This window comes from Homo sapiens, chromosome 14, assembly GCF_000001405.40.
Source record: "Homo sapiens chromosome 14, GRCh38.p14 Primary Assembly".
In the NCBI taxonomy this organism is placed as follows: Eukaryota; Metazoa; Chordata; class Mammalia; order Primates; family Hominidae; genus Homo; species Homo sapiens.
The window spans coordinates 105836099-105850094 of record NC_000014.9 but is presented as its reverse complement, the minus strand read 5'-3'; the positions used below and the strand labels follow the sequence as shown (position 1 = coordinate 105850094).

The 13996-nt window shown below is 57.1% G+C and overlaps 1 gene segment (V, D, J or C) and 1 further gene; both read left to right on the top strand.

Annotated features, from left to right (window-relative positions):
* Nucleotides 1–13996, top strand: part of IGH (immunoglobulin heavy locus) — a 1293408-nt gene that overhangs the window by 1029750 nt on the left and 249662 nt on the right.
* Nucleotides 4418–11694, top strand: IGHD (immunoglobulin heavy constant delta). The segment is given in 6 exon segments: nt 4418–4720; nt 5169–5270; nt 8063–8134; nt 8871–9194; nt 9405–9728; nt 11666–11694. Coding segments are annotated over 6 exon segments (1154 nt in total), but the record flags the coding sequence as incomplete, so codon positions are not given.

Below are 13996 nucleotides of genomic sequence, written 5' to 3'. Positions count from 1 at the left end.
GGATGGCGTCTTGGGAGGGCTCATAAGCTGGGGGCCCAGAAGGAGGACATTTCAGGTTCTGAGGAGCAGCCTGGCACTTGCTCTGAGCCAGCTGTCATGGGTATCTGGGGGCTGCTGGGTACAAGTTGTGTCCCTCCCACTAAATGTGCTCTCCACATGGACCCGGCCCGCCCTTCTGTCCCTGCTGGATCCCTGAGCTGGCACCAGCCCTGCCCTCAGAGACAATGTCCAGGAGACAGGTGGAGGTGCACGTGTGGGTCCCTGGGGAAATCCATCCTCCAACCGTGGGCTCCGAGTCGCCTCCCAGCCTCTCGCTCCAGCTTCACCCCATGTAGCTCATCACAGGCTCAACCTCCCAGCCTGGGGGAGGATGGAGTGAGGAGCCCCACACTGCCCAGGGCACACCCAGGGGGCTGGGGAGTCTGCACTGGGCTGGGGCAGGGAGGCCTCGTGCAGCCTGTGGGGCTGGCAGCTCAGGACAACACTCGTATCCGTTAACTGTGGCCCTGGCAACACTGCACCCCAGACTGCGTGGCTTAAACAACAGACGTTTATTCCGTCCTGGTTCTGGAGGCCGGGCATCTGGGATGGAGGCCTTGGCGGGGCTGGCTCCTCTGTGTCACGGGAGACTCTGTTCCAGGCTCTCTCCCTGCTGCTGGGCTTTGCCGGCCGTCTCTGGTGCTCTTGGCTTATGGAAGCAGCACCATCTTCACAGGGCGTTCTCCACACGTGCTGTCTGTGCCCAGATTCCCCCTTTTCATGAGGACAGCAGTCATATTGGATCAGAGGCTTGCCCTACTCCAGGGTGACCTCATCTGAACTTGATTGCAGCTGCAAAGACTGTTTCCAGACAAGGTCACATTCTGTGGTCCTGGGGGTTAGGACTTCGACACATTAATTTACAGGGGACACATTTTAACCCATGACAGTTTGCCCTCCGTTCCCCCCATAATCATGTCCTTCTCACAGGCAAAATCCCTGCATCCCATAGCAACATCTCCAGAACGGCTGACCCCTTCCAGCACCAACTCTTAGTCCACAATCTCAGCGAAATATCACCTGCATCAAGTGTGGGAGAAACCCAGGGTGAGATTCATTCTGGGTGAAATTCCTCTCCATCTGTGGACCTTTGTAACTTGACAAGAAGTTATCTGCTTCCAAAGTACAATGATGGGGCAGGCATAGGATGGACATTCCTATTCTAAAAGGGATACATAGAAAGGGAGAGAGGAGCCATGGGTCCCAAGCAAGCCCAAACCCAGCAGGGAAAGCTGCATTAGATTTAAGGCTCAAGGCTCATCCTCCTGGGTCCGTGCTCCATCTTCCAGGCCCACTGGGGTGACCCCATGCTCTTCGCCCATGGTGGCCAGAGCCCCCACAGCCTCCTCATCTTTGGCTCTGATCTCAAAGTCACCCTTCCTTCATTTTTTCTGGTCTTCTTTCCCTTCCATCCAATTGGCATTGTTTCTTCTGTTTTACAATTCACAAAATCCTTGTCAGCTTCCCATGAAATTCCTGGGGGTTTGAGTCATCAGACAAGAGAGCCCTGCACAGTTATATCCTCAATAACCTTATCTCTACTCCTGGTTTCTGCTGAGATGGTTGATTGGATCCATAAGTCATGATTCCAATCTCTTTAACAAATGGTTGCCCAGACACATCCTTGGCCTTGTTTCCAGAGCATGCTATTGGACAGGCTGAGAATTTTCCAGCTGTTCAAGTTGTGGGTCCTGTTTACTGAACACTTTCTCTCACTTTTTACTATAAGCAGTCAGGAGAAATCAGGTTGTGCCTTCAACACTTTTCTTAGAAATATCCTCAGCTAAAATCCAGGTTCATCACTTGTAAGTCCTACTTACCATAAATAGAATGCAATTCAGCCAAGTGCTTTGCCACTTTCTAACAAAGGTCACCTTTCCTCCAATTTTCAATAACATCTTCCTCATTTCTGTCTGGGGCCTCACCAGAGGCATCTTTAACATTCACATTTCTAGCAACATTCTGTTTGTGACAATTTATGTATTCTCTAAGATGACAGGAGTTTTCTCTATAGCTCTCCTCTTTCTTTCTGAGCCCCCACCAGGATCACCTTCAATGTCCAAATTTCTACCATAGTCTTCAAGGAAATCTAGGCTTTTTCTAACATGCACCTGAAAACTCTTCTCACCTCTACACATTACCCTATCCCAAATTCATTTCCACAGTTTTAGGTATCAATTAAATCAGATAAATAAATCATTACCCTGAATTATTTCAGTTAAGCATGTTAGTTGGTGGCATAAGAGAAAACTCAGTCAGATAGTGCTGAAGACAGGACTGTGGAGACACCTTAGAAGGACAGATTCTGTTCAGAATCACTGATGCGGCGTCAGCAGGACTGGCCTAGTGGAGGCTCTGGGAGGGTGGCTGCCAGGCCCGGCCTGGGCTTTGGGTCTCCCCGGACTACCCGGAGCTGGGATGCGTGGCTTCTGCCGCCGGGCCGACTGGCTGCTCAGGCCCCAGCCCTTGTTAATGGACTTGGAGGAATGATTCCATGCCAAAGCTTTTGCAAGGTTCGCAGTGACCAGGCACCCGACATGGTAAGAGACAGGCAGCCGCCGCTGCTGCATTCACTTCTCTTAAAACTTTGTATTTGATGTCTTATTTCCACTAGAAGGCGAATTGGTCTTAATTGCTTCTCTTAAGCCACCACTTCTAAAGCCAAAATCTGTTTTAGTTTCTTATGAGCTATTGTAACAAAGTACCACAACTGCATGGCTGAAACAACAGAAGTGTATTCTGTCTCATTTCTGGAGGCCAGGTGTCTGAGATCAAGCTGTGGGCAGGGTTGGCTCCCCTGGGTTGGCAGGGAGAATCTGTTCCAGGTGTCTGTCCTGGCTTTTGTTGGTTTGCTGGAAAGCTTTGGTGTTCCTTGGCTTTTGGAAACAGCTCCTCCGCCTCCATCTTTACCTTCACATGGCATTCTGCCTGCGTGCATGTCTGTGTCTAAATTTCCACTTTGCATAAGGACACCAGCCATATTGGGTCAGAGGCTCACCTGCCTCCAGCGTGACCTCATCTTAACTTGATTGCATCTGCAAAACTCTGCTTCCAAAGAAGGGCACATTCTGAGGCCCTACGGGTCAGAGCTTCAACACGTCCATTTATTTGGAGACACAACTCAACCCATAACAAGACCCATCCCTAGTGTCTCACCAGTGGTGCTGTAGAGGGAGGCCTGGCAGGGCTGACATCCCAGAACCTCAGGGAAAAATGAAAACAGCCCAGAGGGGTCCAAGAGGTGGCTCGAGGAAGGGAATTAGGAACACACTGTTCAGGTGGAAGATTCTGAGATGGGCCGTGAATACTGCCTAGGATGTGGAGGGTTGACAATGGGTTGACAATCCTGCTCAGAAAATCCCAGGATAAAGGATGTAAATGGGGAGAAGAGGAGGGTCATCCAGAATTTGGGAAAGCAGGGCGACAGTTTCTGCCCCAAGGGAGAAGGGAAGGAGGATGGGGCCACCGCCACACCAGATGACCTTGCGTACCAGGCCAAAGAACGGGAACACCTGGCCCCACCTGAGCAGCAATAGTCAGTGTGGTGGTGGGCAGACATGGGTGGAGGCAGGGGGTGAGTAGAAGGTTAGACTAAGACGGAGCACCTGGGGCCTCCAGGGACCCAGGCAAGAACCCTGCACTTGCTCAGCTGCCCTGGGTACCCAGGTCTCCAGGAAAGTGAGGCTGAGAGCCAAGCCCAGCAGGCAGCCACACATTCTGGGACCTGCCACCCTACAGCCTGCTGTCCATGAGTAACACCCCTTACAAGGGGCCAGGTCAGCTCATGGGTTTATCCCAGGCAGCAGAGCCCCTGGGGCCAGGAATCAGGGAGAGGAGCATCCAATCCCACCAGCTCCTCCGGAGCCACTCAGAGGGCCAGACGCATGGCCCTCCACAGGGACCCCATGGCCCCTGCAGGGCAGCTGAGGACCCGTGGCTGGGAGCCTGGGCAGGAGGGTCATACAGCCCTAGGCCCGTTGCTCCCAGGCTTGAGTGCCCCTCCTCCCCTCAGGGGCCCAAGGGAAGTGGGTTCCAGAGAGGTTGGGGGCAGCAGGGAAGGTGGAGGTCCCAGGAATGCCCAGAGGGGCACCAAAGCCTCTGGAGGGAAGACCCCTCCCTTCCAGGAGCTCTCGGCAACAAGAGCCCAGGGTCCACAAAGCCACAGGTCCCACTCGGTTATTCTGACTCACAACACAGGAGCGGCAGCAGGGGCATTCGTGTTCACGGGCCACTTGGTCAGCCCCGCTCACCCTGGGCACTCCTCCTGGGCCCCTTTTCCCTGCCTTCCCTGTCACCCTGCTGCCAGGGTCCTCTGCCCTGCCCTGCCCCTTGTCCTCAGAGCCTCCAGCCTCAGACTCCCACTGTGTCTGTCTTCCAGCACCCACCAAGGCTCCGGATGTGTTCCCCATCATATCAGGGTGCAGACACCCAAAGGATAACAGCCCTGTGGTCCTGGCATGCTTGATAACTGGGTACCACCCAACGTCCGTGACTGTCACCTGGTACATGGGGACACAGAGCCAGCCCCAGAGAACCTTCCCTGAGATACAAAGACGGGACAGCTACTACATGACAAGCAGCCAGCTCTCCACCCCCCTCCAGCAGTGGCGCCAAGGCGAGTACAAATGCGTGGTCCAGCACACCGCCAGCAAGAGTAAGAAGGAGATCTTCCGCTGGCCAGGTAGGTCGCACCGGAGATCACCCAGAAGGGCCCCCCAGGACCCCCAGCACCTTCCACTCAGGGCCTGACCACAAAGACAGAAGCAAGGGCTGGGCTGTGAGGCAACCCCCACCTCCCCCTCAGAGCACGTTCCTCCCCCTTCACCCTGTATCCACCCCTCCGGACCCTCCCCATCTCAGTCCCTCCGCTCCCTCTCTCTGAGGCCCATCTCCCAATACCCAGATCACTTTCCTTCCAGACCCTTCCCTCAGTGTGCACGGAGGCAGCTTGCCCAGCAAAGGTGACTGTCTAGTGGGCTTCCCACAGCCAAGCTCCCACCCCATGCTGCGGCCCCTCCCTTCTTCCTGCTTGGCTGCCTGTGCCCCCCACCTGCCTGTCCACAACCCAGCCTCTGGTACATCCATGCCCTCTGCCCTCAGCCTCACCTGCACTTTTCCTTGGATTTCAGAGTCTCCAAAGGCACAGGCCTCCTCAGTGCCCACTGCACAACCCCAAGCAGAGGGCAGCCTCGCCAAGGCAACCACAGCCCCAGCCACCACCCGTAACACAGGTGAGAAGCCCCTTCCCTGCACACTCCACCCCCACCCACCTGCTCATTCCTCAGCCGCCTCCTCCAGGCAGCCCTTCATAACTCCTTGTCTGAGTCTCCAAGTCACACTTTGGTAAGGAGAGGGACACTGAACGGACCTCTAACAAACACCTACTGCCAGCCAGCCCCAGTCTGGGGGCCAGCAGATGCCAAACAACCAGCAGACTCCCAGAGCAGACCTGGGCCGGCTCCCTGGCCCATGGACCCAGCTCTGCCTCGCTGAGCTGAGGCATGGGCTCTCAGCGCAGCCTCACATAGAGCCACCCTGCCGAGGCAGTCCGGCTTGCAGACTCACAGGTCACTTGGGCCGCAGCAGCCCCTCCCCGTGACCCTCGCCTCCCGCCCGCCCCAGCCTGGCTCTCTCCAAGTGTTGGATCTTGGTGGCCAGCCTGCTTCTCACCCTCACCCTGCCTGCCACCTCAGAATGGCAGGGGAAAGAGGGCCCTCACCAAGAACTTTATCTGAGAAGTCTGAGGCTTGTGACTCTGACCTGCCTGAGATGTCCATGTGGCCGGGGGGACGGGTTCAGTGTTCGGGAGAACTCGGGTACGTGCCTGACTTTCTCTGAGTAGGGCAGGAAGCTGTTAGGAGAAGCAGCAGTGAGGTGGGCTGGACCAACAGGCAGAATGACTGTCCCTCAGCCACCCTCTGGGATGTGGGTCAAGCTCTGACAAAGGCATGGCACAGCCATGGTGGCCCCTGCTTGGATGAGTGGCCACGGTGCCCTCACCCTGGGCCAGAATCTGCCTCCACTCTGCAGGTGCAGAAACACGACATTCCCGTCTCTAAACACACCTAGCTCCTAGGCTTGGGGTGGGCCTATCAAATGCAGGGAGATGGACACAGCACAAGGGCCAGAGCTTCCCATGAGAAAGGTGAGGGCAGCTGCTCCCTGACCCGGGCATCTGCACTTGTCCCTCTCCACCCTCCTCATGGGCAGTGGAGACTCAGCAACAAAACAAGTTGAGTGCATTAGCAGCCAGCTCTGGAGCCAAGTCACTCACCCCACGGCCTTGGCTGCTGGTGGAGGGGCCTTCCCCTGGGCAGCCTCCAAGAAGACAGCCAAGTGCTCTTACTCAGACCACGGCGCTGCTTCCTGGCACCTCGATTTCCCACAACAACATGGGGTGCAGACAGGCTAGGGCCCCCTGCCCTGGGGCCTGGACGGCATCCAGTTAAAGATGACCCTTCACGGGCGGTGCCTGAGGTGTGCTGACCTCAGCAGCTAAGCCCTCAGGTCTGGTCTGCACTGCCCCACCTGGAGGACCCAACTGACCCAGACACAGCCAGGGTTATGGCATGACCCCGTGGACGGTGACCCACAGGCCAGATGCAGCCGGGGGCTGTTTTGTGTGGCCTAGAAATGTCTTTACAGTTGTAGTGGGATGGAGGAGGAAGAGGAAGAGAGGAGGGGAGAGGAAAGCAGGGAAGGGGAAAAAGAGGAGTTCAATGCAACCCCAAAAGCCAGAACAGTTTTGAGCTGAAAGAACAAGGCAGGAAACATCCCAGTACCTGACTTCAAAACATACTATAAAGCAGTTGTAATCAAAACAGGATCATAAAAACAGACACACAGACCCATGGAACAGAAAAGCGAGCCCAGAAATAAATCTACATGCTTGCAGTCCATTGATTTTCAACAAAGGCACCAGGAAAACACAATGGGGAGAGGACAGTTTCCTCAATAAATAGTGCTGGGGAAACTGGATATCCATGTGCAGACTAATGAAACTACACAAAAATCAATTGAAAACAGTCTAGGCCAGGCGCGGTGGCTCATGCCGGTAATCCCAGCACTTTGGGAGGCCGAGACAGGCGGATCACCTGAGGTCAGGAGTTCGAGACCAGCTTGGCCAACATGGCGAAACCCGGTCTCCACTAAAAATACAAAAATTAGCACATGGTGGCCTACGTCTGTTATCCCAGCTTTTCAGGAGGCTGAGGCAGGAGAATCGCTTGAATCCGGGAGGTGAAGGTTGCAGGGAGCCAAGATTGCGCCACTGCATTCCAGCCTGGGCAATGGAGCGAGACTGTCTCAAAAAAAAAAAAAAAAAAAAGAAAAGAAAACAGTCTAAAGGTTTAACTGAACAGATAAAGCTACTAGAAGAAAACATAGGGGGAAAACTCCATGACATTAGTCTGAGCAACGATTTTTGGATATGATCCCAAAAGCTCAGGCAGCACTAGTCACAAAAGCCAAGATACAGAACCAACCTAAGCACCCCTCAGCAGATGCACAGGTAAAGAAAATGTGGTACGTATGGGGCACAATGGAATACGATTCAGCCTTTAAAAACAGTGAAATTCTGTCATTGGCAACAATGTAGATGAACCTGAAGGACACTTATGCTAAGTGAAATAAGCCAGGCACAGAAGGAGCAATACTGCATGATTGCACTTACATCTGGCAGGTTAAAAAGGCAAACTCTTAGAGGCAGACAGTAGAGAGGTGGTGCCAGGGAGCGGGCACTGGTGGCTGGGGAGATGTTGGTCAAAGGGCACAAAACTGCAGTTGGGAGGAATTAGTTCAGGACATCCCTTGTACATGGGGACAGTGGTTAGTAACAACGGATTGTATCCTTGAAAACCGCTAAGAAAATAGTTTTTAAGTGTTCTTGACACAAAAAGTGACACGTATGTGAGATACTGCATGGTCATTAGCTGGATTTAGCCATTCCACAATGTACACATATTTCAAACATTGTGTTGTATATGATAAACATGTATAATTTTTGTCAATTAAAAATTTTTAGGAAGAGGAGGAGAAGAGAAGAAGAAGGAGAAGGAGAAAGAGGAACAAGAAGAGAGAGAGACAAAGACACCAGGTTTTTTCTGACCCCTGGGCTATCAAAACACCTATTGCCCAATAACTAGTTGGCCGTTGGTGCCCTAAACTATTGAAGCGATTGCTGTTATGTGGATGGGCCCCGGACACTTAGAAACTCGTGACCCCTGAGGACCCCCACGAGGACAGTCAGGGTCCCCCCGAACTCAGGGAGCACTGAGGAAGGAGCTCTTAGAGGCGTGGGGCCCCTCAGGCCCCTCAGAGGGCTCTGCCACATGGGTCAGGGGCAGGCTGAGGGGGAGTCCCAGGCTCCATGCCCAGCCTCTGTGCCTCTGACCAGGGTGTCCCCCACACCGCCTCCTCCCCAGTGCCCTCCACTGGCCACACCTGGCCAGAAGCTGGGGAGAGGAGAGCACAGTGGTTAAGTCAGTCCCTGCAGGGAGACGGCACCAGAAAAACCTGGCCTGTGGATGAGTCCCGGCCTGGCAGCCACAGAGCAGAGAGCTCTGGAAGCAACGAAGGCCCGAGTCTGCTCAGGGAAGAGCGGGCAGCAGCCCCAGGGCCGGACAGTGACCAAGAGTGGCACCGCCCATGGCTCAACGGGTCTTTGCCCACAGATCCCCCAGCCCCTGGAGACAGGGTCTGTGTGCCTGGCCGTGCAGGCAGGCACCACACTCAGGGGGAGGCCACTGTGGAGCTCTGTGCAGAGCCCCGGGCGGGAGCCTACTGCTCCCGAAGGTCCGGCCACAGCTGCTCTCGTTTGCTCTCCCCTGCAGAGTGTCCGAGCCACACCCAGCCTCTTGGCGTCTACCTGCTAACCCCTGCAGTGCAGGACCTGTGGCTCCGGGACAAAGCCACCTTCACCTGCTTCGTGGTGGGCAGTGACCTGAAGGATGCTCACCTGACCTGGGAGGTGGCTGGGAAGGTCCCCACAGGGGGCGTGGAGGAAGGGCTGCTGGAGCGGCACAGCAACGGCTCCCAGAGCCAGCACAGCCGTCTGACCCTGCCCAGGTCCTTGTGGAACGCGGGGACCTCCGTCACCTGCACACTGAACCATCCCAGCCTCCCACCCCAGAGGTTGATGGCGCTGAGAGAACCCGGTGAGCCTGGCTCCCAGGTGGGGAGACGAGGGTGCCCACAGCCTGCTGACCCCTACGCCTGCCCCAGGGCCATGACCCCAGCTGGGCCCCAGCAGCACCGGTCATCCTCCACAGGAAAGGAGAAGGGAGGCACCAGCACCCTGGCCGGCCCCACTTCTCTCCCAGTGCCCCCGTGGCCAGAGCCTGACAGCCTCCCCCACCTCCCCGCAGCTGCGCAGGCACCCGTCAAGCTTTCCCTGAACCTGCTGGCCTCGTCTGACCCTCCCGAGGCGGCCTCGTGGCTCCTGTGTGAGGTGTCTGGCTTCTCGCCCCCCAACATCCTCCTGATGTGGCTGGAGGACCAGCGTGAGGTGAACACTTCTGGGTTTGCCCCCGCACGCCCCCCTCCACAGCCCAGGAGCACCACGTTCTGGGCCTGGAGTGTGCTGCGTGTCCCAGCCCCGCCCAGCCCTCAGCCAGCCACCTACACGTGTGTGGTCAGCCACGAGGACTCCCGGACTCTGCTCAACGCCAGCCGGAGCCTAGAAGTCAGCTGTGAGTCACCCCCAGGCCCAGGGTTGGGACGGGGACTCTGAGGGGGGCCATAAGGAGCTGGAATCCATACTAGGCAGGGGTGGGCACTGGGCAGGGGCGGGGCTAGGCTGTCCTGGGCACACAGGCCCCTTCTCGGTGTCCGGCAGGAGCACAGACTTCCCAGTACTCCTGGGCCATGGATGTCCCAGCGTCCATCCTTGCTGTCCACACCACGTGCTGGCCCAGGCTGGCTGGCACAGTGTAAGAGGTGGATACAACCCCTCGCCGTGCCCTGAGGAGTGGCGGTTTCCTCCCAAGACATTCCCCACGGCTGGGTGCTGGGCACAGGCCTTCCCTGGTGTGACCGTGAATGTGGTCACCCTGAACAGCTGCCCTCTCTGGGGACATCTGACTGTCCAAGACCACAGTCAGCACCTCTGGGAGCCAGAGGGGTCTCCAGAGACCCCCAGATGTCAGGCTTGGGCTCAGTGCCCAGCGAAAGGTCAGCCCCACACATGCCCATAATGGGCGCCCACCCAGAGTGACAGCCCCCAGCCTCCTGCCAGGCCCACCCTTTTCCGCCCCCTTGAGGCATGGCACACAGACCAGTGCGCCCACTGCCCGAGCATGGCCCCAGTGGGATGTGGTGGCCACGAGGGGCTGTACACACAGCAGGAGGCTGTCCGCCCTGCTCAGGGCCTGCTGCCTATGCCCCAGCTGTCCAGCCAAGGGAGGCATGGAAGGGCCCCTGGTGTAAGCTGGAGCCAGGCACCCAGGCCCCCGGCCACCCTGCAGAGCCAAGGAAAGGAAGACACCCAAGTCAACAAGGGGCAGGGCTGAGGGCTGTCCCAGGCTCTTTTGGCCCGAGGGGCTGCCAGCAGCCCTGACCCGGCATGGGCCTTCCCCAGAAGCGACCCTGTGAGGTGGCCTCACAGAGAACCCCCTCTGAGGACAGTGTCTGACCCTGCCTGCCTCACACAGATGGGCCCCACAGCAGTGGGCAACCTGGGGGGCAGCAGCCCAACCTGACCCTGCAGGGACTGCCCCCTGCAGCAGCAGCTGCTTCTCAGTCCCCCAACCTCCCTGTCCCCGCCAGAGGGTCTTCCCCGAAGCTGCAGCCCCAACCCATGGCTGCCCACCTGGAACCGGGACTCCCTGTCCACTGCCCCCTCCCCTTCGGGGCCCCATCTGTGCTGGGGCCCAGGTTCGGCCTACAGATTCCCATCATTGCCATGGCCTCCTGACCTTGCCTATCCACCCCCAACCACCGGCTCCATGCTGACCCTCCCCCAGGCTCCCACGCCCAGCTGGCCGGCCATCCCCAGGCACAGACAGTCTGGGATCTCACAGGTTAGCCTGGACCATCCACCTGGCCAGACCTGGGAGAGGCTGGAAGCTGCCCTGCCACCATGCTCCAGGGCCCCAGGTTGCAGTACTATGGGGTGAGGGTGTGTGTGCACACCCGTGTGTACCTAGGATATCCGAGTGTACCCTTGTGCCCCCAAGCACAAGTCTCCCTCCCAGGCAGTGAGGCCCAGATGGTGCAGTGGTTAGAGCTGAGGCTTATCCCACAGAGAACCCTGGCGCCTTGGTCAAGGAAGCCCCTATGCCTTTCTTGCCTCGATTTCCCCTCTTGTCTGCTGAGCCAGCAGGGGCCACGTCCTGGGCTGCTGTGAGGAGGAAGTGAGTTGGTGCTAGGAGGGGCTCCTGTGTGTGCATGGGCGGGAGGGGTGCAGGTATCTGAGCACCCCGGTCTCCACTTGAGAGAGCAGGGCAGGAGCTCCCTGACCCACCCAGACTACACACGCTGTGTCCACGTGTCTCACATTATCTGTGGCAGAGGATCCGGCTTCTTTCTCAATTTCCAGTTCTTCACAAAGCAATGCCTTTGTAAAATGCAATAAGAAATACTAGAAAAATGATATGAACAGAAAGACACGCCGATTTTTTGTTATTAGATGTAACAGACCATGGCCCCATGAAATGATCCCGGACCAGATCCGTCCACACCCGCCACTCAGCAGCTCTGGCCGAGCTCACAGTACAACCACAATAAACTCTTGTTGAATGAACTCTAGGAAGTCTGTGACGTGGCTGGTTCTTGTCAATGCTTCCTGCCTGCCCACAGGCTCTTCCTCGTGGATGGGGCTGTGCTTGCCATGGAAGCGTTTTTCCCGGCCTAGGCTTGCCTTGGGCCCCACTGCCGTCTCCAGCTGGAGATGACCTTCTATACACACATTTGCTCATGACAGACCCTTGCTTAGCCCCCTTCCATGGCTCCCTCCTGCTGCTGGGATAAAATCACCTTGCCTGGATATCCCCTCCTGGGCCCCTTTCCACCCTCCTTAGTCAGCACCCCCAGTTCAGGGCACCTGCTTTCCCCGCTGCGGAGAAGCCACTCTCTCCTTGCTGCCCGGCTGTGTCTTGCCTTCCACACCTTGTCACAGTGGCCACTTCCTAAGGAAGGCCTCCCTGTGTGCAGGTGTGCAGAAGTGCCCCAGCCTCCCGTCACCTTTGTCACGGGAGCCCAATCCATGAGAGTCTATGGTTCTGTCTGTCTGCCCCACTCAGGGCAGCGACAAGTCCAGGCGGGGAGGACACAGTAGGCAGAGATTTGTCGAGGGGACATATGAGCAAGAGGGTGAGGCTGGGAGCTCCCTGGAGATAACCACGCCTCCTGGGAAGACTCGCCGTCATTTCAGCTCCACGCTGTGCGGGGGTGGGTGGAGGGGTAGCCTGGCCCTCATGACCAGGGAGCTTCTCACTCAGCCCCCGTTCCTCCCCAGACCTGGCCATGACCCCCCTGATCCCTCAGAGCAAGGATGAGAACAGCGATGACTACACGACCTTTGATGATGTGGGCAGCCTGTGGACCACCCTGTCCACGTTTGTGGCCCTCTTCATCCTCACCCTCCTCTACAGCGGCATTGTCACTTTCATCAAGGTCAGGGGAGCGGCCAGGCTCTCAGTGACCCTCGGGGTGGGTGTGGGGCAAGGTGCCCTTCCAGGGGACATGCCAGAGTTGGTCCAGGGATCCTGGACCAGGCAGAGGCAGGGCTGAGGGAGCCTGGAGGACATGCAGGCCCTCTGTGGCCTGTGGACACTGTCGAAGGCCCTCTTGACCCTGTGGATAAAGGACAACACCCCCTCCCCTGCTCCTCTGTCTCCCCTGCCCCTCCACCCCTCAGGCTTCTAGCCCCCTGTCTGACCCCAGGGGCTGTCTTTCAGGTGAAGTAGCCCCAGAAGAGCAGGACGCCCTGTACCTGCAGAGAAGGGAAGCAGCCTCTGTACCTCATCTGTGGCTACCAGAGAGCAGAAAGGACCCACCCTGGACTCTTCTGTGTGCAGGAAGATGCGCCAGCCCCTGCCCCCGGCTCCCCTCTGTCCGCCACAGAACCCAGTCTTCTAGACCAGGGGGACGGGCACCCATCACTCCGCAGGCGAATCAGAGCCCCCCTGCCCCGGCCCTAACCCCTGTGCCTCCTTCCCATGCTTCCCCGAGAGCCAGCTACACCCCTGCCCCGGCCCTAACCCCCATGCCTCCTTCCTGTGCTTCCCCCAGAGCCAGCTAGTCCCACCTGCAGCCCGCTGGCCTCCCCATAAACACACTTTGGTTCATTTCACCTGCCTCCTGTTCTTTGTCCCAGTGGTCTGGATTCACCTCAAGTTAAAGGACACAGGGAGCTAACGGCAATGGGAAGGGAGTTTGGGGTGTCAGCAGCAACAGGGAACGCAATAGCCAAAGCTGTCACAGCAAGAACTGAGCGGAGACCTTGCTCTGAAGTTAATGGGTTAAGAAACGCCCCTCCCCACACCAAACACAAACATTTCACGCTCACTCGTACATGCACACACATGCACACAAGCATCTATGCACACATGCACATGTGCACAGCTCACGAATAAACATATATGCACACACATGCAGTACACTCACATGCAAACAGGCAGATGCACAGGCATGGGCACACATGCACAAGGCATGCATGTGCAGGTCTGCAGACACACACATCTGCATGCACATACACGGACGTGCACCTGCACACACACAAGTGCACATAGGCATCAAAGACACACATGCTCGTGCACGCGCATACACACAGACATGCACACTTATGCATGCACACGCCATGACAGGATGGCACGGGAACAACCTTGCACATGGAGCCTGTTCTGTGTGTATCGAGAGCCTGCACCTCTTACTGTCTGCATGACTGTGGGCAAGAGCCTGAACTCCGTACCTCCATTTCCTCATCAGAATGGGGTGAAAATACACCTGTCAAGTAGAG